The sequence below is a fragment of the Homo sapiens genome, chromosome 21 (assembly GCF_000001405.40).
Source record: "Homo sapiens chromosome 21, GRCh38.p14 Primary Assembly".
In the NCBI taxonomy this organism is placed as follows: Eukaryota; Metazoa; Chordata; class Mammalia; order Primates; family Hominidae; genus Homo; species Homo sapiens.
Window position 1 is genome coordinate 42,686,535 of NC_000021.9, and position 27,253 is coordinate 42,713,787.

The window sequence follows — 27,253 nt, forward strand, 5'->3', positions numbered from 1 at the left end:
CCGGGCGTGGTGTCTCACACCTGTAATCCCAACACTTTGAGAGGCCGAGGTGGGCAGATCACCTGAGGTCAGGAGTTCGAGACCAGCCTGGCCAACATGGTGAAATCTTGTCTCTACTAAAAATACAAAAATTAGCCGGGCGTGGTGGCGAGCACCTGTCATCCCAGCTGCTTGGGAGGCTGAGGCAGGAGAATGGCTTGAACCCTGGAGGCAGAGGTTGTAGTGAGCTGAGATCATGCCATTGCACTCCAGCCTGGGCAACAGAGCGAGACTCCGCCTCAAAATAAATAAATAAATAAAAAAGAGTGTGGGTTTTTTCCTCTCACTTCTTCATTCACTTTTGGAGAAAGCGGGGTGGTTGTGTGTGTTTGGTCCCCAGCCCCACATCACCCCATAGGTGCCTTTTCTACCCAGGGGGCTTGACCCAGATCAACACTGGGTGAAAGGCTGACTTCAGAAATGGGTTGAAAAGACCAGTGATCTGCCTTATCGAGTCCTCAGAGTCCCACAGGAGTTAATGTCCTAAATCAACAGTGTGTTCGAGCCAGTGAATTTTCTAATTATCAGCAAACTTTCCAAATGTAAAGGGTGAGCAGGAGTAGCTTTGGCTCAAGGATTAACTTTAAAGTTAGGACGGAGGTGGAGAAGGGCAATTGAAGTTTCTCACAGACAGGTGAGAAAAGGGAGATGAAAGTACACGTCTGAAAGTGCAGCAAATGGCAGTTTTAGCCGCAAAAATAGCCCATGGTCTGGGGCATCTTTGGGCACCATATATGAAGCAATGTGCCAATAAATAAATATATATACACAGTATTCCGTATAGCAGCCCTGGGATTTGAGTATCACCTCTATTTCACAGATTTTAACAATTTACAACTGAAGATCAGAGATTAACTTGGTCGAGGTAACACATCTTGCAAGAGGCCCCAAAACATGTGAGGTTGGAGGAAGACTCATCCTAAGCATTTAAAACTATTTTGTAGGAGAGACTTGCGCAGTTCAGACGGACTCCCAAAGGCACTGGAAGCGGAAAGACAAACTATGAGTTCGTCATCTGCTGATATAAATGTTAGTTCCTATTTTACCACAGTTTTTTAAAAAAAATCTCCCAACTCAATAAAGTAGACTTGCTCCAATTCCCATTTTAAAGTATTTCAGCATCTACACGCACTTAGGATTATACGCAGCTGTTTAATTTCATTTACAATCGGAGTCTCAATGCCCTGGGGACGGCCTCCCACCCTTCCCATCCCACCACACCTTGGTCAGGCTGGTCCTGGGACTGTCCTGGTTGTCTCAGGGCTCTGGCCCCATGTGTACATTCAAGTGTACATCCCAGAGCACACTATGGGCGAAAACACGGGCTTGGGTGTGTTTTCCAGGAACACGACCATCTCCCTGCTGACCACCGACGACGCCATGGTCTCCATCGACCCCACCATGCCCGCGAATTCAGAACGGTAAGAGGCTCCGGCCGCGCTCCTCGGGGTGTGCCTGGCACTTCTCTCCATGACATGGGAGGCTTTCTGTGATTTTGTAAATGTGCTACTGCAGAAAGGTGTGAATTGACAGCAGAGATGGAGAGCGAGGGTAGGAGCCAGTGTGAAGGAAGCTTGACTCGTCGTGTTCCCCTGCAGAGGAGCTGGGCACGTTCCAAGATAACAATTGCAGCCGTGGCTCTGCACCTGCTTCTCAACGGGAGGAGGCATTGTACAGAGGGGAAACTGAGGCCCAGGAGGGTGAGCCAAGAGCTGCAGAGCCAGGCCCCGGGATCCCCACATTAACCCCAGGAAGGACCTCGGGAGATTCCCTACAGAGCCCCTGGGGACATTTCGTGTTTACCCACTTAGGGCCGGTCTCTGTGTTCATAAAGTGATGCCTGTGGGAGATTCTAAGCACAGAAGGGCCAGGGACAAGGGAGGCCCAGGAAGTCAAGAGGAGAGGCCGGTGAAAGCCTCCGTGAATGTCTGTGAACTAGGTCAAGCCAGCGGTGTATGGCCCAGGAAGGACGCGGAGCAGGGGCCCTCAGGTCAGTGACCTGCCCCTGTTCCTGGTGACCTGGGGAGACCCCAGCAGCCTCCACTGCTCTTTGTGGTTGGGCAAAGTGGAACTTAGATTTCCTCATGAGGCGAGGGAGCAGGTGAGCTGGGGGCGGGGCGTGCGACCTCAGGACCCCTCTCTGGCGTCCTCTGTTCCTCCCAGAGTGGGGCTCACTGTGCCTCCAAGGGACTCAGTAGATGCGATGGTACACTTGTCAATCTGGTCATCAGGGTGTCCTGCCCAACTGACCCATGGCCAGCTCTGAGCCCACAGGAGAAAGTGCATGTCAGGCAGACCCTTGTGTCAGTGAGGTCCCAGTGGGCGTGGCCAGCACCGTCCCCCTCAGTGAGGCCCCCCAGTGGACGTGGCCAGTGCTGCCTCCCTCAGTGAGGTCTCAGTGGACATGGCCAGAGCCGTCCCCCTCAGTGAGCGCTCAGTAGACATGGCCAGTGCCGTCCTCAGCGAGGTCCCCGTGGGTGTGGCCAGCGCCATCCCCCTCAGCGAGGTCCTCGTGGGTGTGGCCAGCACCATCCCACTCAGCGAGGTCCCAGTGGACATGGCCAGCGCCGCCCCCCTCAGTGAGGCTTCAGTGGGCATGGCCAGTGCCGTCCCCCTCAGCGAGGTCCCAGTGGACGTGTCCAGAGCTGTCCTGGTCAGCCGTCCTCCCTGTCACCTTGAGGCCTCAGCCGAGCTCCTCTCATCTGGCTGTGCCCGTCAGTCTCCCCTCCTGCCCTAGCCAGGATGCCCGTCTCCTGCCCCACACAGTCTGGCTCTGACTCTTGGCTTCCAGACTCCCCGGAAGGTGCAGTGCTAATTGGCTCCCCAGAGACTCCAGTAAGCATCTTGTCAGCCTCAGCACCAGCTCCAGCCTGGGGGGTCTCGCTCAGAAGCAAAGTCACTGAGTGACCTGTCCTCCTGACACCCACAAGACTAAAATGATCTCTCAGAGGGGACCTCACAGAAACCAGCACCTTGTCCATGCCAGCTGGGTATCTGAGAGAAACTGCTTTGTTTTCCTGAAGTCATTTGAAACAGCGTGCAGAGACATTTAAACTCGGCGGGAAATAGGAGAAGCCCACCTTGACCCTTCTAATTCTCTGGCCCCAGGTGCCTTATTAACAAGAGACAGTATCAGACACACCAGACAAAAGCCCTCCTGAGCCCAAAGAGCCCAAATGTCTGGAAGCTCTCTGCTGAGATGCCAAAATGCATGCCTTTCTGATAAAGAGACAGAGACAGATGAGGTACCATGATATGGACATGGCAGTGGACGTGGACAGGGGAGCAGTGGAGATGGAGAAGATGGAGACACACGCAGTTGAGGATACAGGCGAAGAAGATGGAGACACACGCGGATGAGGATACAGGCGAAGAAGATGGAGACACACGCGGATGAGGATACAGGTGAAGAAGATGGAGACACACGCGGATGAGGATACAGGTGAAGAAGGTGGAGACAGACGCGGATGAGGATACAGATGGAGAAGATGGAGGTAGACGCGGGTGAGGATACAGGTGGAGAAGATGGAGGTAGACGCGGGTGAGGATACAGGTGGAGAAGATGGAGGTAGACGCGGATGAGGATACAGGTGGAGAAGATGGAGGTAGACGCGGATGAGGACACAGGTGGAGAAGATGGAGGTAGACGCGGATGAGGATACAGGTGGAGAAGATGGGGTTAGACGCGGATGAGGACACAGGTGGAGAAGAGGAAGTTAGACGCGGATGAGGATATAGATAGATGCATAGGGTGTGGATCTAACCGGGTACAGGTGATGCGGAAACGGATCTAGACAGCGATGTGGAAATGGATCTAGACAGCGATGTGGATGTGATCTAGATAATGTGGCTCTGGACGTAGAAAGAGCTTCAGATGCTCTATCTATGATCGTGGGTGTGGATATAGGCATAGACATGGTGAAGAGGAGAGAATAGACTCTCCTCTCTCATGACAAACTGATCGTGGCTGGGGGCGGCACGTGCTGAGATGTGGCTGTATTTGTCCCCCAGGCTGGTGCCTGCGCCTCCTGCACCCCCGTCTCCTTTGTGCCTTCTTCCATTCCCTCTGCCACTGTTAGGTCCAGGCCTCACTGAGCTCTGACCTCCCTGCCTCCAGCCTGCCTCTCCCACACGGCTGCCAGGTTCAACCTGGTAAGACACCTTCTTCTCCATGGTGGCCTCCCAATCTGGGCCCTGCCAACTTATGCCTCACCAACTTCTCCAACTTACCCCTGTACCCACGCCCGCACCATGCCCAGCCCACAGGATCCTGCCTTCCCAGCTCTGCAGAACCAGCTTCTGCTTATCCGCTAGGTGCCAGCCCAGCCACCTGCCTTAAGCACCATCCACAGTCACCCAGCCCATCACCATCACTAGCAAAGTCACCCAGACCCATCACCATCACCATCCAGAGTCACCCAGCCCTTCACTATCACCATCCAAAGTCACCAGCCCCATCACCATCACTATCCAGAGTCACCAGCCCCATCACCATCACCATTCAAAGTCACCCACCCCGATACCATCACCATCCAAAGTCACCCAGACCTATCACCATCATCATCCAGAGTCACCAGCCCCTTCACCATCACCATCCAAAGTCACCAGCCCCTTTACCATCACCATCCAGAGTCACCCAGTCCCATCGCCATCACCATCCAGATTCACCCAGACCCATCACCATCTCCATCTAAAGTCACCCAGACCCATCACCATCACTATCCAAAGTCACGCATCCTGTCACTATCACCATCCAAAGTCACCAAGCCCCTTCACCATCACCATCCAAAGTCACCCAGTCCTATCACCATCACCATCCTAAGTTACCAGCCTTTCACCATCACCATCAAAGTCACCAGCCCCATCATCGTCACCATCCTATCCAAAGTCATCCAGTACCACCACCATCCAAAATCACCCAGACACATCACCATCACCATCCAAAGCCACCTAGCCCATCACCATCACTATCCAAAGTCATCTAGCACCATCACCATCCAAAGTCACCCAGACACATCACCATCACCATCCAAAGTTACCAGCCCCATCACCATCATCATCCAGAGTCACCCAGATCCATCACCATCACCATCCAAAGTCACTCAGCCCATCACCATCACTATCCAAAGTCACCAGCCTCTTCACCATCACTATCACCAGGCCCTTCACCATCATCCGAAGTCACCCAGACCCATGACCATCACCATCCAAAGTCTTCCAGACCCATCATCATCACCATTTGAGGTCACCCAGACCCATCACCATCACCATCCAAAGTCACCCAGCCCATCACCATCACTATCCAAAGTGACCAGCCCCTTTACCATCACTATCCAAAGTCACCCAGACCCATCACCATCACCACCCAAAGTCACCCAGCCCCTTCACCATCTCCATCCAAAGTCACCCAACCTGTCACCATCAGCACATCACTGGCTTCCTCCCCTCAGTGTGCGCCTCAGTCTGAAGTGATCTCACTTACTTGTTTGAGGTTCTCACTGCTGCTGGCCCCGCTGGACGGTCTTCTCTCATAGGAAGGAAATTTCACCTTGCTCTCTGCTGGATTTCCAGCCCCTAAACGAGGCGGGGCATGCTGGGTGCAGGATGGAATGAGTTGGGGACGGAGTGAACCAGTCCAGCTCGTGCGTGCCTCCCCCTCTGCACTGCCCAGAGCAGTTTTTTCTTCTGGGGACGCAGGGCAACGTCTGGAGACATTTCTGGATGTCACCAGGGGTAAGGGCCTGCTACTTGTATCTGATGGGTGGAGACCCGGGATGCCAATGGCATCCTACAGCGCACAGGACAGGCCCACAACAATGACACACGTGGCCGGAGACATCAGCGGTGCTGAGGCGGAGCACCTGGTGTCTGAGGTCTCCCCTGTGCTCTGTCGCTGTCCTCTCACCCTCCCCCAATCTTCCAACCTAGTAGTTCTCAGACAACTGCGTCAGAATCCGCAGGGGGCTTGGTGGAGCACAGAGCTCCCCTCAGTCTCTGGTTTGTGACGGAGGTGGGCCCCGAGAATCTTTCTGCAGCAGAAAGCCAGGCTTTCTGCAGGTTCCCAGTGAGGAGGACGAGGCTGGCCCGGGACACGCCACTGATGCTCTTCTGACCCAGGGGCTTTTCTCTCCCGCTTCCGTCCCTCTTCCCTCGCCGGCAGGTGACGTTACTGGCCTTTTCTTTTTTGGCCCTGCCTCCCCCTTGGCTTCTCCCCTCTTCCTCTCCTCCACTCGGTGCCTGGTGACATGCGGCCATCCTCAGAGATGTGCTTCGGGGCCCGCACGCCTTGCTCCTCGCACTCTTCCTGCACCGGAGCCGCGGTGCGAGGCCTCGGGAATGCTCACCGTTTCTCTCCCGCCCCCCGGCCGCATGCTGCAGCCATTCCCTCACCACATGTCCAGGAGGGAGCCGGCATCCTTTGCTGACTTTCTTGCTGTGACTATGGTGCTGCGTGGAAAAGGGGCCGTGGGAAGGCTGGGCAGGTGGCTGCTCAGAGCCCCACCTGACACGGTGACCCACGGGGCCTGGAAATTCACTGCCCCGATTTCCACACAGGTGCCTGAGCTCCTGCAGAGAATGCCTGAGAGCGAGACGCATGCCCGTCAATTTGTGCTTTCAGGCGTCCTAAGCACACACGCCTGCTCTTATTTGAACCACTCCCTGTAAGCTAGTTCCACTAAAGAGTGGCTTTCCACCCTGGCTGCAGATTGCAACCACCCAGGAATCTTTTTTTTTTTTTTTTTGAGACGGAGTCTGGCTCTGTCGCCCAGGCTGGAGTGCAGTGGCGCGATCTCGGCTCACTGCAAGCTCTGCCTTCCGGGTTCACGCCATTCTCCTGCCTCAGCCTCCCGAGTAGCTGGGACTACAGGCGCCCGCCACCACGCCCAGCTAATTTTTTGTGTTTTTAGTAGAGACGGGATGTTAGCCAGGATGATCACGATCTCCTGACCTCGTGATCCACCTGCCTCGGCCCCCCAGAGTGCTGCGATTACAGGCGTGAGCCACCGCGTCCTACTTTTTTTTTTTTTTTTTTTTTGAGACAGAGTTTCACTCTTATTGCCCAGGCTGCAGTGCAATGGTGTGATCTCAGCTCACTGCAACCTCTGCCTCCCAGGTTCCAGGGATTCTCCTGCCTCAGCCTCCCAAGTAGCTGGGATCACAGGCATGCACGACCACACCTGGCTAATTTTGTATTTTTAGTAAAGATGGGGTTTCTCCATGTTGGTCAGGCTGGTCTCAAACTCCTGACCTCAGGTGATCCGCCCACCTCAGCCTCCCAAAGTGCTGAGATTACAGGCGTGAGCCACCATGCCCAGCCCACCCAGGAATCTTTTAAAAGGTACCAGTTGATGCCCAGACCCCTCAATTAAGTCCAGATTTTTAAGAGATTTTTTTTTTTTAAAGCTCTGCAAGTGATTCCAGCACACAGTCTGGGGACTAACCGCTGATATAAGGTCTGGAAAATCTAAGAAACCACTCTACCCCACCCTCTGGTGACCAGAAGCTTATGTCTACCAGACCCAGGGCCTTCCCTTGCTGAAACATGCTGGGTAAACTCTTTGTTTCTTCCTAGCAGACAGCAGCCCTCTCCCTCTAGCTCAGAAGCTACGTCAGCAGTTGGTTGGTTGGTTGGTTGGTGGGTTGGTTGGGTTGTGTCTCTCTTTAACTTCCTCCACTTCTGAAGTCACCTGCAGTGACTTGGTGTGGACTTGGTCACCTCACTGTCCCCCCAGCCTCAGGCCCAGGAACCATGTCTTTGGAGGAGGCTCTCCTGCTGGCAGCTGGTTGCATCTGGCATGCTTGGATTCCTGCAGGTGGCTGGTTGCACCTAGCTTGCTTGGATTCTTCCCAGATTCACAGCCATAGGGTGGGCGTTTCATGAAATCTCCAAATTCCAAGGGCTCTTGACAGACCACCTCCATCCTGATCAGAAGGGGTGATGCCGGTTGCACGGTCTCTTAGAGCTTAAAACTCTAGCTTCTTCTCTGCTCCTCATTCCAAACTAAACAAATTGTTGCATTGGATTATTCTTTCAAAATACTCCTTGCCTTAATGCCATCCTTTAGATTTTGGTGGCTGGCTCCTGTTGTGGACCGCATCTCACAGGTGGACTTCCTGGTTTCTGCCTCCTGTTACCCCTCACAGTTATCTCTCCCTTGAGTCCTGCTACCTTCCAGAAAAATAGGCTCCAAACACACTTTCATCCCATCACTCCCAGCATGGAGTTCTCCAGTGGCCTGTTGGCTACAGGACACTCTCCAGCCCCCCGCATTGGGATGTCTGGCCCCAATCCACCATAATGTACTTGTCTCCAATCTGCTGAGCTGCATGAATGCCCACCCCAGCCCAGCGGGCACTCCCCTTCTGCAAACCTCCAAGCACATTCCCCCTCTGCACACTGCCAATCTTCCTGTCCCCGCCCCAAATCCAAAGGCCCCTCCTATGGCTGGGGATCCACTGGCAGCTGCCTAACCCTTCCTATGCTCCTGGACGTTTGGTGCAATCTGGAGCACGCTCAAGCCGGCATTTGAAATAACCTGGAACACGTTTACATCATGGAAAATATGGAAAATAGGCTGATTGGCTTCCACTCCCTTTTAGAGCTGGCAAGAAAAATAATTGATGACTAAACAACCTAACGACCAACAAATATAAAAAGTCATAGCCCAACCATGATCAAATAAGGCTCCAGCATTCCTCCTTGGAGGGACTCTGAGCCATCTGGTGTCATTTTCCTTTCCAATCCGGGAACATTCTGGAGATCCTGACATCCAGCTAACATGGGCGTTGCTTCCTGACAACCCTACCCCTTCCATTCCCCAGTCACTACTGCTTCAAGATGCAGTGGAAGGAGATAAATCAGACACCTCAGTAGCGTGAGTGAAAGTGGGGTGTGTGGTGAGACACATACAGAGGGGAGAGGGCCAGAGGACGGCGCCGTGCGACACACACCATTGCTCCTTTTGTTCCCGGTTTCGGCCAAGTTGTGCCGCAGGTGACTCTCCACCGGCTGAGCTCTGTGCATGCAGGGCCAGTATTCTCGGCCATTCTGGCTTAGAGAAAAGCTTTCTATATTCCAGAATGGCTCCAGGCCTCCTCCTCCTCCTATTAAATGTGTTTTAAAAGAGGTCTTAGAGCCCAGGCAGTTAGATCTTAGAAAAAGACAAATACAGTAGAAGCTGGAGGCAAGCTTATCCTTTCCAAAGAGGGAGTGCTTCCTGTGTTAATTTGTTATTGAGCATGATGAAGATTCAGCTCCATTGAGACTGAGCCAAGAGTTGACTCATTCATGGGAGCAACATAACGGGTTGTGAGAAGCCAAAGGATTAAGCATCTGGGAGCCAAGACTGATCTTGAGTGGCCCAGAAATGCAACCCAAGGATCTTGGGCCCAAGGGCCAGGAAGGTTTCTGCAGCCTCCTGGAGCATTCACAGAGGCTCCCTGTCCGTCCACTTTTCCCTCTGTTGCTGATGTGATGGCTCCTGCCCTCAGCTTACCAGACTCCTCGGAGAGGCTGGCCTCTGAATTGGTTGAATGGGCTTGAAGGGGGCTGGACTCCATTTGGGTGGATGAGCAGGCCCAGTGCCCCTGTATGAGGGGAAGTTGTCTTGGTAAGCCTGTTTTTGTGTCAGGTCCCCAGGACACCTTCCTCTGAGTCTCTTGCGTGGGAGAAGTTGCTGGACACGCCTCTCTGGCTCTGTCCCCGCCGGCACTGTGTGGGATCCATGCTGTTCTCCCTCCAGCCCTTGCCCCACCTCCTGGAGCCCTTCTCTGCGCCTGGTCACTACCCGCCCCCCACCTCCAGCATTAATTTTCTAGGGACAAGGGGCAGGGGAAGGAGGAGAAGAAAGAGTCCTTGCTGCTCCTCAGAGAAGACACAGGAGAAGAAAGTCGGAGAGGAGTGGGGAGCCAGGGTGGCAAAGCCCCTTCCTGCTGCCCACGCAGGTCCTGGCTTTCTCTCCACCCACTGCACCATTTCCAGGGCTGCTCTCATGGTGGGAGCCGGAGAGACACTGAGAAGAGGAAGGAAGGAGGATCCAAGAGGAGCCCAGCACACCCGGCTTCTCTGCTGCCCACCCTCCACTCTGTCCTCCCAGCCCAGGCCCTTCCTAGGCAACCCTGGCACGGGTCCTCACTGGCCACACTGAGGCCATCAGCAAAGCACCTGGCCTCTTCACGCCTTGGGCTCTGGGTCTGTAAGGCAGTGAGGCTGAGGTTCCTGGGACAGCTGGGCACTGTGGACTTGCCCAGCTGAGCACAGGCATCAGGGGCTAGAGGGGCCCTAGTCCCGATGACGACCGAGTGCCCTCTCCACCTGGGGAGCTTGGAGGACTTTGCTCTGCACTTAGGGCCACGCTTCAAGCCCAGTGCCTCTTATGACCAAGTCTCTGGGGAGAAATGAGCCCTCCAGTGCCAAATGACCCACCACTAAAAGGCCTTTTGAGGCAGGGCCTCTCCTGAGCCCACGCAGGCACGTGGTGGGAGATGAGAGGGTGTGGGCTCACTTCTTGACATTCTGTGTGAGTGAGGTCATTCATAGGGTGAGGGGAGAATCAAGGGGACAGAGGGCCCTCTAGTCCCCAGCACTTGGGCTCAGCTGGCAAGTCCACAGTGCCCGGCTCTCCCGAGAACCTCAGCCTCACCGCCCTACAGACAAAGGGCCCAAAGTGCAGGGAGGTCAGTGCCACACAGGTTTTATTTTTTCACATTATTGGTGTTTAAAATTGTAAAGATTTTCCACGTTACCTGTAACCATCAAACCACATGTATTGCCCCCAGTTAATCACCATGAACAGCTTGGTGTGTATACCCCTCCATATTCACTGTGTTTCTTCTTCCAGGAATGAGCTCATTCTCTATACATCACTCCGTAACTTGTTGTTTTTACCTAGTAAGGAGTCATGGGCGTCCCACCAGGTGAATACTTGCATGTTTGTCTTCATCTTCTTAACAACTACCTGACACTGCAGTGTCTCAGTCTGTCTGAACTTAAACAGCTAGACATTGAGTTCTCAGAGTCTGGAGGCTGAAATCCAAGATGAGGGTGTGGGCAGGTTCTGTTCCTGGGGAGGCCTCTCTTCCTGGCTTGCATACAGCTGCCTTCTGGCTGTGCCCTCATGAGGCAGAGCAAGAGACAGCTCTGGTGTCTTTGGCCCTTGTAAGGACACCAACCCCATCCCATGGGCCCCACCCTCAGGAACTCCTCCAAACCCAATCACCTCCCAAGGCCCTACCTCCTAATCTTACCCACTGGGGATGAGGGCTTCATTATATGAATTTGGGGTGGGGGTGCCTCAACATTCAGACCCCAGCACCATGGGACCACTAATGTGGCATCCTGCCTGTGGAGAGATGCACAGACTGACCCATCCAGACAGCACAGTGGAGCACGCTCTTTCAACCCACCTGCACCTGACCACAGTGGGCACTCAGGAAGAAATGGGTAGAGCGAGTGAATGAATGAATGAGCAAGTCAAAGACATGAACACATGACATCTGACTGTCTCCCTGTGTGCTTGTGTTTCATTCTGATACATCCCTCCCTAAATTCATCTGCTGAGACAAAGGATTTTAACTGGTGTTTCTACACTGCTTTCCCCAAGATGTGGCAACCCACACCCCACCAGCAACACCTGTGATGTCTGCCGCCCTGTGTCCTTGTAGCACCTCTCTTACCAGGTTTCCAAATGTTGCTAAACTGCTGGGTCAAGGAATAGCATCTGCCTGGGGTTAGCCTCACTTGTGTGGATTTTTTCTTACTCCTCTTGGCCACTGACTGCTCCTGGTCTATGCCTGTTCCATTGGCTGCACTGTCCTTCCCTGCCTCTTGGCCAGAGGCTGTCGTGTGTCAGCGACAGAAACGTTTTGGCTGTCGTCTGCACAGCCAGTATTCTCTCCCCATCACGCTGGGCCTCGTGATGATGGGGGGAGGGGGGTTGACATCACAGAGATCCCAGTGCATTTTCGACTTCATCACTGTCACCATCCTCTCTTGTTCATTTGGGGGATACAGCCGCCATCAGCTCAACAGAGCAAAAGAGAGGGAGGCCACCTGCATCCGCCAGGTGCTGAAATGGGTCCAGGCAGCTGCCAGAGTCTGACATTTCCAACTTGATACAGCACCTGTGATCGGCAGTAGTACCCATGACAACATTTATTTAATTGACCAAACACGAACATTATAGAGGAAGGTGATCATTTAAATGATATACTTGAAATTCATCTGAGTAAGGAAGCTGAGAACAGTCAAAGAAGCTAATTTAAAAAATAAAAATAAATAAAAAGAACCACCTAATCCGCTGATTTCTAATCATGCCGAGTGCTTATCTCTCCTGCCAGGCATACAGCGAGCGCCTTGCAGAGTCTCACAGCGGCACTGTCTTCTCTTTTGCAGCACTCCGTACAAAGTGAGACCTGTGGCCATCAAGCAACTCTCCGGTAAGGCCCTGCTGTCGTTTTTTAAACTAAAAGAAGGAAAAAGAAATCTTGAGCTTGCCCCTGTGATAAAATATATACTAGTTAAGCATTTGAATCTAAGCATTTGAAATATATATGAGTTACCTTTGAAGCATTTAACTATATGTTAGTTAAGCATTTGAATCTGCATTTGAAGCCGATACAACTGCAGAATCTGAAACCTTGTACTACTGTAAGGGCTCTGCCTTTCTAACCCCAGGGAGAATAGCATCTGCCTGGGGTTAGCCTCCCTTGTGTGGATTTTTTCTTACTCCTTTTGGCCACTGCCTGTTCCTGGTCTATGGCCGTTCCATTGGCTGCACTGTCTGTCCCTGCCCCTCGGCCAGAGGCCATCCCAAGGACTTTGCAGTTGCAGGGCGGCATCCACTCTGGTCTTCCTGGCCCAGCACCTGTCCTCCCCGCTCCACTGTGAGTTGCCAAGGCAGGCATTTGTGGCCCCTGGGATGCCTTGGGGTGCCTCATACAGTTACTTGGGCCGCTGTGTTACAATCCTTTTTCTTTTTCTTTTTTTTTTTTTAAAAAAAAACGGAGTCTGGTCCTGTCACCCAGGGCTGGAATGCAGTGGCACGATCTCGGCTCACTGCAACCTCTGCCTCCCAAGTTCAAGTGATTCTCCTGCCTCACCCTCCCAGGTAGCTGGGATTACAGGCGTGCACCACCAAGCCTGGGTAATTTTTTTTGTATTTTTGGTAGAGACGGGATTTTGCCATGTTAGCCAGGCTGGTCTCGAACTCCTGACCTCAGGTGATCCACCTGTCTTAGCCTCCCAAAGTGCTAGGATTACAGGCGTGAGCCACAGCACCCAGCCTAGAATGCCTTTTCCATTTGATTTTTATCACTTTTATTTATGTGTGATTTATACATCATAAAATGCCATTTAAGTGCCTATTTTGATGACTTTTGAAAAATGTGTACACCCTTGTAACCATCACCAAAATCAAGACATTTGCACCACCTAGAAAAGCTCTCTCTTGCCCCCTCCAGTGTGTCTCAGTCCACAACGGACCTGCTTTCTGACATCATCCATGAGATTTCTTTTTGAGAGTTTCATATATAAGAAATTACATGGTATATGTACTCTTTTTGACTCAACATAATGTTTTTGAGATCCATCCATGTGCTGTGTGTAGAGACAGTTCATGCTTTGTATTGCTAAGTGGTATCCCATGGTGTAGGTTGTACCACAGGGCGTCTTCCATTCACTGTGGATGGACATTTGGGTTGTTACCAGTCTGGGGGCTTTTAAGAATAAGGCTGCTGTGAGCATTAAAGTACAAGTATTGGTGGAAACGTATATTTTTATATATTTCATTTCACTTGGCTAAATACCTATGATACCTATAACCTTGCCAACTTTTTTATACAGTTAAACATATACTTAACCGTCTTCCCTAAGAGTGGATATAAGAGTCTGTAGAGTGTTCCCCAGTCTGGGTTTGTCTGACGTTTCTCTCACGACCAGCCTGGGTGTGGTGGGTTTTGGAAGGAATACGTGGGGCGCATGACAGCCAGGTAGGACCACGAGCTTCTCCACTGCAGAGTTACTGTTGATCTCCTTCCCTGCTCTTCTTTGAAAGCAAGTCACGAAGTCCAGCCCACCCAAACACAGGAGAGAAAAACCGAGGTTCGTTTTCTCTACACAGATATTCATTTCTCCAGCACCATTTGTTGAAAAGATGATCTTTTCTCCCACTGAATTACCATGACACCTTTGTGGAAAATCGATGGGCCATGTATGTGTGAGTCTTTTTCTGGACTCCAGATCCTGTCGTGTGAATTTACATGTCTTAAAACAACAGCACACCATCTTGACTACCGTAGATAAATAGTAGGTCTTGAAATCAGGTACTCTAAGTTATCTCTGGTTTCTTTTTTCTTTTTCAAAAATGTTATTGCTTTTATTTTCAAATAAATTTTAGAATCAGTCTATGAATTGCTTCCAAAAAAACAGTCTGCTAGGATTTTGACTGAAGTTGCATTAAATATACAGACCAATGTGGGAAGAATTAATATCTTAAGAATGTTGAGTCTTCTGGTTCATAAATATGGTCTATCTCCCCATTCATTTGGGTTTCCTTTAATGTTTCTCAATAATGTGTTACCATTGTTAATATGAAGTACTTAATAAATACTGATAAATACATCACTATTTCATGTATTTAATGGTACTGCAAATGGACTTTTTTTTCATTTCAATTTCCGGTAGTTTTTAGTTTATAGGAATTGGCTTCTGTATGGGACCTTGCTAAACTCATTTATTAGGTCTAGTACCTTTTTGCAGATTTCCTGTGATTCTATAGATGATTTTCTTATAGTGCTGGTCTTCTGACAACAAATTCCTTCTGCTTTTGTCTGAAAAAGCTTTTCTTTGCTGTTTTGCTTTTTTTTTTTTCAAAGAGAGAGAGAGATAAAGTCTTTGTCTGTTGCCCAGGCTGGAGTGCAGTGATGCGGTCATAGCTCACGACAGCCTTGACCTCCTAGGCTGAAGCAATCCTCCCTCCTCAGCCTCCCAAGTAGCTGGGACTATAGGCACACACCACCATGCCCGGCGAATTTTTTAAGTTTTTATAGGGACAAGGTCTTACAGTATTGCCCAGGCTGGTCTCAAACTCCTAAACTCAAGTAATCCTCCCTCCCTGAGATTACAGACGTGAGCCACCATGCCCGACTGACAGTGTTTTTATTTCATCTTCATTTTGAAAGGGTATTTTCTTGCCATAGAGAATTTTAGTTTCACAGTTTTCCAGCACTGTGAATATGTCTTCTCATTGTGTTTTAGCTAGTACAGCTTCTAATGAGAAGTCTGTGATGTCTTATCTTTGTTCCTCTGTGTGCAATGTGTCTTTTTCCCTCTGGCAACTTAAGATGTTTTCTTTATCACTGGTTTGCAGGAATTTGATTATGATGGCCTTGGTGTGGTTTTCTTTTGGTTTAACCTGCTTGGTGTTCATTGATCTTCTTGGAACTTTGGGATCATATTTTTCATGAAATTTGGAATTTTTTCTGCTCTCCTCTGTCTCTCTCCTTTCCCCTGGGACCCTAACTACCTGAATGATAGACAGCCTGAGAGCGTCCCCTGACTCACTCACACTGTTTCTTTCTTTCCAGACCTTTTTTTCTGTTTGCTTTATTTTTCTTAGACTTTTCCGTGACGTCTTCCATTGCACTGGTCTTCCCTCCTGCAGTATCTAGTCTGCTGTTAATCTCGTTCAGTGAAATTTTCATTTCAGATATTGCATTCTTCATCCCTAGGAATTATGTTTCCCTCCTTTTTCGTATCTCCCATTTTTACATCTCCCATTTATGCCTCATTATGTTTATATTTCCTGTAAATGCTTATACCTCATTATAATTCTGTTTCATGCCATTGTCTGCTGGTTTCCTCCTCTCTGCCATATCCGAGTCTGTCTCTGTTGATTGATTTATCTCCTGGGTATGGGTCATATTTTTCTGATTCTCGTGAATCTAGTAGATCTTGATGGAATGCTGATCACAGGAATGCACGCTGGTTCATCATCTGGTTTTGTTTCTCCCAGTTAAGAGTGTTGGGCTTTGCCTTGGCAAGCAGTTAAGTTACTTGCACATCAGTTTGATGCCTTTGAGCCCCACCTTTAAGCTTTGTGAGAATGGCTCTAGAGGGCCCTTACCCCAGGGATAGCTCAGTCCTACTAAGACTTGATCCCTTTGGGGTCTCCCCCAAACTCCTGGCTGATCACCAAATTCCACTCTGGCTGTTTAGAGTGCAAATGTTTGGAGATGAGAATGAAAGCGCCAGGGCCTTGAAGGTCGTTGCAAGGATGCTGGCTTTTATGCTGAGTGGCGTGGGCAGCTATTAGAAGGCTTTCAGGAGAGGAGTGACATCATCACATTTGTGTTTTAAATCTTGCTCAGGGCGCTGGGTCGAGATCACGAAAGGGAAGTGGCAGCAAAGGTGGAGGCAGAGAAATCCAAGAGGAAGCTATTTTTTTGGGAGGAGGCGGAGGCCTAGGCCGGGGTGGGGGCCATGGAGGTGATGAGGAGCGCAGGTTCCAGCAGGTTCTAAAGGAAGAGACAAGCTTTTTCCTAAGTGGAAGCGGGATATAGAGACCCATCCGGGGCTTCTTTGACCTGAGCACTGAGCGCCACGGCCCAGGGAGGGGGTTGCTGCGGGTGGGCTTGGTCTGCTCATCAGACATCAGGTGCATGAGGAGCAGGCAGAGTCAGGGCAGGCGGCCTCTCGGCTGTCGGCTCCCAATGGATGGTGTTGAAGTCTGGGACTTGGTGAGGCCAGCAGGGAGTGAGTGAGCACCAGCAGGAGGGGCCAGGCCTGAGCCGGACGGAGACCGAACCCATCCGTGGGAGAAGGACGCTGGTGACAGGACACCATCGGGAGCAGAGGGGAAGCCATAAAGCCCTGGAGGCAGGAAGAGGCAAAGGCTGGCCGGGTGTGGGTGAGGTGCTGCAGGGCTCTCGCAGGCCAGCGAAGACAGGCGAGATGGCTGTGCTCAGAGTTAGAAGAGCATCGCTGGGAGCAGAGGAAAGAGGGATTTCTGTGTCACCTGGGGACCCATCCAGGACCAGTGGGAGATGGAGTTGGGCTCATTGAGGGAAAGAGGTGAATGGAAGGAAGTTGGAACCAGCTGTCCTAAGGCCGGAGCTGCTCCTCCCTGGAGGACTCCGGCAAAGGCTGCTGGCCTTGGGCTGTGCGGGCACCCAGTGGCTGAGAGATCGTTGCCCTCTGCAGCCCTCCTGCAACTTGGATCCTAGGAGCCACAAAGAGGCTTGAAAAATAATCCATCCTGAGAAACACAAAGGCTCACATTAAACTTCGCATCGTAAAGTTTTGAGTAAAAGAACAATAAGGGGCATTTCTGCTAAAGGTGCCAGGATGAGAAAAAGCAGGAAACAGTGCTGCACCGCCAGGCTCTGCACCGTCTCTACAGAGGGCTGGGGTTGGTTCAGGAGCATTCGGCCCAGGCTGTGATCTCGAGAAGGTGGTCAGGGCCCAGGCTCCCGCCAGCCCTCACGGCAGCACGAGGCTGGTACGAGACAGGTGCTTCAGGTGTTTGTTGAGAGCTGCACACACTTCTGCTGGGCTGGGCAAGACTTCCCTCTTCAGAGAGGATGAGCGGCCACACGGAAGGCCAGGCTGGGTGTCCCTCCGGGCCAGCCGAGGAGCGCTGCGCTTATTCCGCAGTGAGGAGTCGCTGGCTGTCCAGGGGAGCTGCATTTTCCTAGCAGCGACAACCCCTCCCACATCTCCATAGTCACATCCTGGCTGGGCTAACACCACCTTTCCCCGCCTCTGGGTGCGTGGGGACCCCGCTCTCCAAATAGGCCAGTGTTCCAGGCTTTTCTTTAGGAGACAAAGTCGGTGTCAGGTAGACCCCCCCCACCCCACCAAACACACACACACACACACACACACACACACACACACAGCTTTCCTGAGAAATGTGTTTACAGAACATTTTTTCCATTTGGGGTTTGTCCTTAGGAATTCTTCACTCTCTCTATGGCAACAACCTTCCCTCTCCCGTCCATCGGCCTTGGGTCCCAGAGCCACTGAGCCGTGGCCCAAGGTCAGGAGTTAGCTCTAGCGACGCCGCCCTGAGTTCTGGCCTGTAAGCAACCCCAGGTGCCCTTGTGAATCAACAGACCACATTTCCAGTGGCAGAAAAGGAAATGGGAGCTGTTTCTAGACTAGCACAAGGCTCAGGGGGTGGGGGGTGGGGGCAGGGTGCAGGGAGGCCAACGCCACACAGCCCCACACCCAGCCTTTCCCAAGGCCCTGGGTTCCTCACTGATTCTCAGCAGGTTTCAGTAAATGCCTCTAACGGGCCCGGTGGAACTGTGCAATGCAGAAACACCCCAGGGTTTTGCTGTTTTGCTACTTAAATATTCAGGAAATAGTAAAGAGAAGAGTATTATCAAAAACGTGACTTTTCATAGAAAAGGGAGAATAGGCCAGCCCTGGCCTGGGTCCACAACCCCAGTGTGAGCTGCAGAGACTTCTCTGGAGCGGTGAACAGCTCCTGCCAGGAAAGAGCATGGCACAGCCTCGTTCTCCAGCGTAGAGTAGAAGGAATGGCCCCGTCCACGCGAAGGTCTGTGTTCACCAAGCATCTTCTGTAGAAAAATGCTCTCTTCGCCTGATCATGGGAGGGAATCAAATGGATAGAGCATTTATCCCTTTTGTGACTAAAATAAAGGTAATAGCAACTACAAAAACCACGACACAGGCTTCTCAGCATCTTTTTATAACGATAGTGCTGATTTTTTGGAAAATCCTTGAGCCTCAATCACTTTTATTTGATGTAAGCCGCTCAAACTCAAAGAGTGTTGTTTTCCAGATTATAAAACACAGATCTCAGCTGATGGCGGTTGACGGGTGTCCCCCGAGTGCCCTCGGCTGCCAGGAGCTGGCAGGGGAGATGCCTGTGATGAGGATTGGGTGCTGTGATCACAGCACGCGGGAAAAGGACAGGGCCTCCCTCAGCGTGGCAGATCGCGTGGGTCCATGGGTCCGTGTGATCTCATGACCGTATCAAGGGGATTGTGTCTTTTTGACCAGAGCGTTAGGGAAAGCGTGCTGCAGTCACACGCCAGGACGGCCCCCCACGGCCCAAGTCCTATAGGAGAGCCAGGGGCCATCACGATTTTCTTAGGCACAGCAGCAGTTGAACCGTGCTGTCACACTTAACCCAAGTGATGACAGCCTCTTCAACTAGGACAGTGCTGTAGGGGTCTGGTTCTGCTTGTTCTCCCCCACATTCCTGCCTGCCCTAGGACCCAGGACCTGTCTCTAGTCACACACACCCTGTTCAGCCTCTGCATCTGGCCCCCGCGGAGACCCACACCACATTCTACTCCCCTGGCCAGAGACCGAGGGTGACTCGGAGGCTTCCAGTTCCCAGCAGCTTTATTGGCGTTGCTGTTTCCATAGAAGGACAATAAAAGGGGGCCATAAGGAGGCGCATCCGCAGAGTGCGTGCTTGAGCTTCTGCAAGCCAGAGGAGGCCGGCGGCCGGCAGGGTGGGCAGGCTGGCTGGCTGTGCCCCACAACATGCATGTGGAGAGGTTTTGGGGGCAGCCATGGAACCCCGGAGCTGCCCCCACATGAGAGTTCCCCCAGGTGGTGACCAAATGCATTTACAGTCCAGCCGCAGTCCAGATGCAGATGCGCTGTAACTGTAGAACACACAGCAAATTCTGAAGGCTTAGTATGAAAAAGAATATAAAAATCTCAGTCATTTTTATATTGATTTCATGTTTCCTGGTTGAGATGTCATTGATATAACATAAAGCCCACCATTTTAAAGTGTACAACCTCAGCCAGGCATGGTGGCTCACGCCTGTAATCCCAGCACTCTGGGAGGCTGAGGCGGGCAGATCACCTGAGGTCAGGAGTTTGAGACCAGACTGGCCAACATGGTGAAACCCTGTCTCTACTAAAAATACAAAAATTAGCCGGGTGTGGTGGTGCACATCTGTAATCCTAGCTACTTGGAAGGCTGAGGCAGGAGAATCGCTTGAACCTGGGGGTAGAGGTTGCAGCAAGCCGAGATCACACCACTGCACTCTAGCCTGGGTGACACAGTGAGACTCTATCTCAAAAAAAAAAAAATTGTACAACCTCAGTCTTTTTTAGTGTCTTCATTTTGTTGTGCAACCATCACCACTATTTAATTCCAGAACATTTCCATCAACCCAAAAAGAATCCCTGTACCTGTGAGCAGTCCCCCCTCCATCCCCTTCACCCCCCAGCCCCTGGCAGGCCCTGTTCTCTGTCCTGTGCATTCTGACCTTTCACATAACAGAATCCGTGGCCTTTCCAGCCTGGCTTCTTCCACTTTGCACACGGTGTTGCAGGCTCCCCGCGTTGTGGCATATGACAGCTCTTTGTTCCTTTATGGCTGGATGACGTTCCGTTGCGTGGCTGCGTCCTGTGGCTGCATTGTGTGGCTGTGTCACGTGGCTACGTCACGTTTGGTTGATCCGTTCATCAGCTGATGGACATTTGGGCTGTTTCCACAAAGGCTCTTGTGAATGATGCTGCTGCAAACGTTTGTGTGCAAATTTTTGTATGAAAGATACATGGTGAAATGAGGTATTTTGAGGTACATTGGATTAAATGAGATATTAAAAATTTTTTTAAAGTCTAGCCGTCTTGAAGGGGAGGGCCTGAGAGAAGTGCTGAAAGTTCACAGCAGAGGATACCGGATGCTGCGGGTGTGCCAGGCTGGCCTGTCCAGGAGGTCCCTGCAGCCTGGGTGGGAGGTCCCTTACCCACTAATGGGTGCCTCCTCCAACCCCTGAGTCCCCCTACCTGAGGACTTCCTCTGTGTGTGGCATACGCGGCTGCCCCGAGGTCAGTCCTCCCCAGTGAAAGGGAGCTGAAGGACAGGTGCCCAGCTTCTTTGCTCCACAGTGGGACCAATCTCTGACATCATCAATGCAGTTGCTCAAAGGGAGCTCAGAGCGAGGAGTCACCTGTACATCAACTCACCCTCTGGGAGCTCTCTTCCCTTCCATGCCTCAATCCCCCACTCCCTCCCAGGGCTTCCTGGGCTGGCCTCCAAATGCACCACTAGCCCCCAGCTCCTTGTCTCCGGTGGGCTTTTGAGGATTTCCAACTAAGAACCTTAGACTCCAAGACAGGTCAAGCCCCCTGGCATACTCATTTGTCATTTGGATGAAATAGCCTTAGGAGAGCTACTTAACCCCACTGAACTTCCATTTCCCTGACAAAATAGGAATTCTAATGCATACCTTGCATGGTTCTTGGAGGATAAATGAAGTAATTTATGCAAAATGCTGAGCACAGTGCCTGCCACTTGGTAAGCGCCCAGTAAATGGTTGTTATCATTGAAAATGACTTAGGGGGCATTTTTGAATGGCTAAAGTTATGTCTCTCTGGAATTGCTGAATTTTAATAGAACAGGAATGCTTCCTAAGGTCTAAAACAAAAGGCGGAGGACTGGCTGTGTCTGCCCTGGAAGCCAAGTTAATGCTGGATGTCTGCGCATAGACATGTTGCTCATGAGAAATAATAATGCTCCTTAATAATATTGTCTATTTCAGTGCAATTTCAGTCTAGAAGGCTTTATAAGCAAAGCCACAGTCATCCTTACTTGCATTTTTTTGAAACAAAAAGACTGCAGTGTATAAATGAAAAATAACCATTTCTGGAATGGTGTGTTCAGACGGATTCCCCTTAGAGTAGCCTAGCCAACAAAGACAGCAGCAGCCCTTAGCGTGCCACTGTCAGAGATATTGATGGCAAACAGTAATACGGAAGCCTGCGGAATGGAAGTGTCCTGACGGCAGATTTGAGTAAAATGGAGATGATGACAGCTGAACATTGCTGCACGGACCTCAAGACTGCAAACGTTAGGACTGCCCTCCCTGCTCCTAGGCATTTGTGAGAACCAGGCCAACCCATACCCACCCACTGCTGTGTCCTGCCTGACTGCACTGAAATGCACAGATCCTGTGGGTGCAGTTTGATGAGTTTTGTTTTGTTTTTTGTTGTTTTTGTTTTTGAGGAGTTTCGCTCTTGTTGCCGAGGCTGGAGTGCAGTGGCGCGATCTCGGCTCACTGCAACTTCTGCCTCCTGGGTTCAAGCAATTATCCTGCCTCAGCCTCCCGTGTAGCTGAGATTACAGGCGCATGCCACCATGCCCAGCTAATTTTTTGTATTTTTAGTAGAGACAAGGTTTCACCATGTTGGCCAGGCTGATCTCGAACTCCTGACCTCAGGTGATCCACCTGCCTCAGCCTCCCAAAGTGCTGGGATTACAGGCATGAGCCACTGTGCCCAGCCACAGTTTGATGAGTTTTGATAGAAGTGCATGTGTTAGATCTTTCAGGAATCACCACCCAAACCAGAAATACCATTTGACCCAGCAATGACGTTTATATATATACCCAAAGGAATATAAATCATTCTATTATAAAGATATATCTACATGTATGTTCATTGTAGCACTATTCACAATAGCAAAGAGATAGTATCAATCCAAATGCCCATCAATGATAGATTGGATAAAGAAAATGTGGTACATATACACCATGGAATACTATGCAGCCATAAAAAGGAACAAGATCATGTCCTTTGCAGTGACATAGACAGAGCTGGAAGCCATTATCCTCAGCAAATTAATGCAGGAACAGAAAACCAAACACCACATGTTCTCACTTATAAGTGGGAGCTGGACAATGAGAACACATGGACACAGGGAGGGGAATAACACACACTGGGGCCTGTTGGGAGGGTTGGGGGAGGGAGAGCATCAGGATAAATAGCTAATGCATGCTGGGCTTAATACCTAGGTGATGGGTTGACAGGTGCAGCAAACCACCATGACACACGTTTACCTGTGTAACATCCCTGCATGTCCTGCACATGTATCCCAGAACTTAAAATTAAATTAAATTTTTTAAAAGTGCACGTGCATGTAACCGCCACCACAATCAAGACAGAGGACATTTCCATCACCCTAGAAAAATGTCCCCGTACCCCCTTCAAGGCAGTCCTCACTGTGGAGTGCTCTGCCTATTTTTGAGTTTCACGGAGTTGAAATCATACAGCACGAGCTCTTTGTGTCTGGACTCTTTCACTCAACATCATTTTTGTTTGTTTGTTTGTGTGTGTGTGCGTTTGTTTTTTGAGACAGGGTCTCACGCCTGTTGCCCAGGCTGGGGTGTGAGGCACAATCATGGCTCACTGCAGCCTCGACCTCCTGGGCTCAGGTGATCCTCCCACCTCAGCCTCCGAGTAGAGACATGTTGCCCACGCTGGTGTCGAACTCCTGGGCTAAAGCAATCCGCATCATGATGTTTGTAAGATCCATTCGTGCAGTTATTTCCTTTTGCACTGCTGAGCACTGCATGCCTCGCTCATTCATTCTTCTGTGGAGGGACATTTGGGTCATTTCCAGTTTAGGGTTCGGCTACTAGAATTATTGTACAAGTCTTATTGTGGGCATCCTTGTCCATGATCTTGGGTCCACCTAGGAGTTAAATGGCTGGCTCATATGCTGTGTTTGTTTAACTTAAGACTTACTTGTTAAGTGTAAGAAACTGCCAAGCTGGGCCGGGCACAGTGGCTCACGCCTGTAATCCCAGCACTTTGGGAGGCCGAGGCGGGCGGATCACTTGAGGTCAGGAGTTCGAGACCAGCCTGGCCAACATGGCAAAACCCCATCTCTACAAAAAGTGCAAAAAATTAGCAGGGTGTGGTGGTGTGTGCCTGTAGTCCCAGCTACTCAGGAGGCTGAGGCAGGAGAATCTCTTGAACCTGGGAGGAGGAGGTTGCAGTGAGCAGAGGTTGCGCCACTGCACTCCAGTCTGGGCGACAGAGCGAGACTCCATCTCAAAAAAAAAAAAAAAAGAAAGAAAAAAAGAAACTGCCAAGCTGTTCTACCAAGAGGTTGTACCATTCCACATTCCCACCAGCAGCATCTGAGTGATCCAGCTGTTCCACATCCCTGCAACACTAAGCATTCTCTGCTTACATTTTAGACATTCGAGTAGGTGTAAGAGCAATCCTATCTTCTTATAGTTTTAATTTGCATTTCCAAGTAACTTAATGATGTTGAACATGTTGCTATGTCTTATTGACTATTTGAATGTCATATTTTGTGTAGTGTCTGTTCAACAATACTTTGCTCAGGCCAGGTCCGGTGGCTCACGCCTGTAATCCTAGCTCTTTGGAAGGCCAAGGTGGGTGGATTACCTGCGGTCAAGAGTTCGAGACCAGCCTGACCAACATGGTGAAACCTCCTCTCTACTAAAAATACAAAAATTAGCTGGGTGTGGTGGCAGGTGCCTGTAATCCCAGGTACTCGAGAGGCTGAGGCAGGAGAATCGCTTGAACCCAGGAGGTGGATGTTGCAGTAAGCTGAGATCGCGCCTTGCACTCCAGCCTGGGTGACAGAGCAAAAGCTGCATCTCAAAAAAAATATGTAAAAAGGATTTTGCTCATTTTTTAAGCTGGCTTGTATTATTTTTGTCACTGGTTTGTAGGAAACTCTACATAAGCTAGGATATAATTCATTTGTCAGATATATGTGGCAAACATTTTTCCCAATTTGTGATTTGCCTTTTTCGTTTTCTTAATGAGGTCATTTGATGAGCAGAGGTTTTTAATTTGGTGAATTCCATCCAATGTAACAAGTTTTTCTGTTGTGGTCAGTACTTCTTGTGTCTTCTCTAATAAGTTTTGTTTTTTTTTTTTTTTGAGACAAGGTTTCTTGTTGCCCAGGCTGGGGTGCAGCTGTGCGATAAGCTCACTGCAACCTCCGCCTCCCGGGTTCAAGTGATTCTCCTGCCTCAGGCTCCCGAGTAACTAGGATTACAGGCGTTTGCCACCACGCCTGGCTAATTTTTTTGTATTTTTAGTAGAGATGGGGTTTCACCATGTTGGCCAGGCTGGTCTTGAACTCCTGACCTCATGATCCACCCACCTCGGCCTCCCAAAGTGCTGAGCCACCGCACCAGGCCCCCCAAATTGCTAGGATTACAGGAGTGAGCCACCATGCCTGGCCCTAATAATTTTTTTTATCCCAAGGTCATGGAGATACATTTTAGAAGATTTAGAGTTATAGCTGTTATGTTTTTTCTTAATTTAAAGAAAATTTTTAACAACCCAATCTGTTGAGATGTTATGTTTTAATCTGTCATTCATTTCAAGTTAATGTTGTGTGTGTTGTGAAGTAGAGACTGCCATTCATTTTCTTCCCCACGCTGACACCCAGCTGTTACTGCACCACTTGTTAAAAAGACTCCTTTTCCCGCTGAATCCATGGCTCCTTTGTTGAAAGTTAATGGTATCTCTGTGTTTGGGCCTCTCGCTGAACTCTGTTCTGCTTCATTGATCTATTTGTCTATCCTCACACCAACACCACACTGGCTACGTTACTGTGCCCTGGAATCAGGTACTCTAAGTTCTCCATGTGTTCTTCCTCTGCATTTGTTTTGACTGTATAGGTTCTTTTCTTTTCCCTACAAATTTTAGGATCAACTTGTCAATTTCAAAAAAAAAAGCCATCTATGACTTTGATTACTATTTTATTTACTATATAATTTGGGGAGGGTAGTGTCTTAACCATACTGAGTCTTCCAACCCATGAACATGATACATCCCTCCACTTATTTAGGTCTCATTTAACTTCTCAAAAGGTTATGGCTTTCAAGATAAAGGTCCTTCATGTCTTCGGTTAACTTTACTCCAAAGTGTTTTCTGTTTTCTGGTTTTATTGTGAATAAGATTTCATTAATTTTCCAATTGTTTGCTGCTAGTTTATAAAAATATAATAGATTTTTGGATGTTGGCGTTGGATCCTGTGAATTTGCTTAATTCATTGGTTAGTTCTAGTTGTTGTTTTATAGGTTCCTATAATTGTCCACAGAGACAATCATGACATCTAAGAATAATGACAGTTTTAATTATTGCATTCCAATTTTTGGCTTTTATTTCTTTTACTTGTCTTGTTGTACTAGTTGAAACTGCAATACAGTTAAATAAAAGTGAGAGCAGACGTCCTCGCCTTGTTCCCAATCTTAGAGGAGATGCCTTCGGTCTCTCACCATTACATACGATGTTAGCCACAGATTTTTTTGTGGATGCCTTTCATAAGGTTGGAAGTCCCCGTCTAATGTTAGTTTTCTGAGAGTTTTTTGTCTCATGTTCTTTGACAAAATTCTTTGTTAACTTTTATCAAATGTTCTCTCTACAGCTACTGAGGTGGGTTGAGGAGGTGTCCTCTTTTTCCTTGTTTTCTAATGGTTTTGTCCCATAAAGAGGTATTGGATTTTGTTCCAGTACCTTTCTGCATCTATGGGATGAGCATACATATGGTTTTTCTGCTTTATTCTATTAAGATAATGAATAATACTGATTGATTTTCAAATGTTAAAACCACTTTGCTTTCCTAGGGTAAATGCACTTATATTTCCAGGAAATGTTCCTAGGAAATTTCCTGGGGTAAACTCACTTGTATTTCCAGGAAATATTTCCAGGAAAATACTTGGGAATAAATGTAACAAAGTATATGTAGGCCCTCTCCCTGGTGTGTTTGCTTTTTATGTATTGACTTGTTTTTGTTTTTGTTTTTGTTTTGAGACAGTGTCGCTCTGTCACCCAGGCTGGAGTGCAGTGCTGCCATCTCGGCTCACTGCAACCTCCGCCTCCAGGCTTCAAGTGATTCTCCTGCCTCAGCCTCCCGGGTAGCTGGGATTACAGGTGTGCACCACCACACCAGATAATTTTTGTATTTTTAGTAGAGACAGGGTTTCACCATGTTGGTCAGGGTGGTCTCGAACTCCTGACCTCAGGTGATCCACCCGCCTCAGCCTCCCAAAGTGCTGGGATTACAGGCGTGAGCCACAGCACCTGGCCGCTTTTCATGTATTGCTAGATTTGATTTCCTAACAATTCGTTAAGAATGTGGCTGTCTATGCTTAAATGGGATATTGATTTGTAATTTTTTTTCTTGCAGTGTCTTTGTCATGTTTTGATATTGGCCCTATAGTGGCCTCATAAAACACATTGGGAAGTTTACTTTCTTCTGTATTTTCTGAAAGATTTTATGTAATTTTGGTATTATTTTGTCCTATGTCCCTTTACACTTAATGTATTTGGGTTTTTTGTGTGTGTCTTTTTAATAGTTAATAACAATGTATTTTATTCTTGAAAATCACTGAGAGTACATTTTGCATTCTCACCACAAAAAAAAACTATGTGGCATAATGT

General features: G+C 49.6%; 1 protein-coding gene across 24 annotated transcripts in view, besides 3 other annotated features; it reads left to right on the forward strand.

The window, feature by feature from the left end:
• PDE9A (phosphodiesterase 9A) overlaps positions 1-27,253 on the forward strand; it is a 121,889-nt gene that overhangs the window by 32,914 nt on the left and 61,722 nt on the right. For 8 of the 24 annotated variants that reach the window (NM_002606.3, NM_001001567.2, XM_017028366.2 and 5 more), the window contains 2 exons: positions 1,383-1,460; positions 12,434-12,477. The exons of 4 other annotated variants lie outside the window; for them this stretch is intronic. In NM_002606.3, the coding sequence (NP_002597.1) occupies positions 1,383-1,460; positions 12,434-12,477 (122 nt within the window). Of the gene's footprint in view, positions 1-1,382; positions 1,461-10,880; positions 10,957-12,433; positions 12,478-27,253 lie in introns of those variants that run through there. 12 more of the 24 variants (NM_001001583.2, NM_001001574.2, NM_001001579.2 and 9 more) reach the window with 4 other exon arrangements.
• Positions 16,301-17,180: an enhancer, noted in NCBI's record as "H3K4me1 hESC enhancer chr21:44122945-44123824 (GRCh37/hg19 assembly coordinates)". NCBI's record gives its function as "activates a minimal SCP1, AML or CMV promoter by ChIP-STARR-seq in primed H9 embryonic stem cells {active_cell/tissue: H9 hESC(primed)}" and the evidence as "EXISTENCE:reporter gene assay evidence [ECO:0000049][PMID:30033119]".
• Positions 16,547-16,696: a silencer, noted in NCBI's record as "fragment chr21:44123191-44123340 (GRCh37/hg19 assembly coordinates)". NCBI's record gives its function as "represses an EF-1alpha promoter that drives an FKBP-Casp9 reporter gene in an ReSE screen in K562 erythroleukemia cells {active_cell/tissue: K562}" and the evidence as "EXISTENCE:reporter gene assay evidence [ECO:0000049][PMID:32094911]".
• Positions 20,342-20,842: an enhancer, noted in NCBI's record as "H3K4me1 hESC enhancer chr21:44126986-44127486 (GRCh37/hg19 assembly coordinates)". NCBI's record gives its function as "activates a minimal SCP1, AML or CMV promoter by ChIP-STARR-seq in naive H9 embryonic stem cells {active_cell/tissue: H9 hESC(naive)}" and the evidence as "EXISTENCE:reporter gene assay evidence [ECO:0000049][PMID:30033119]".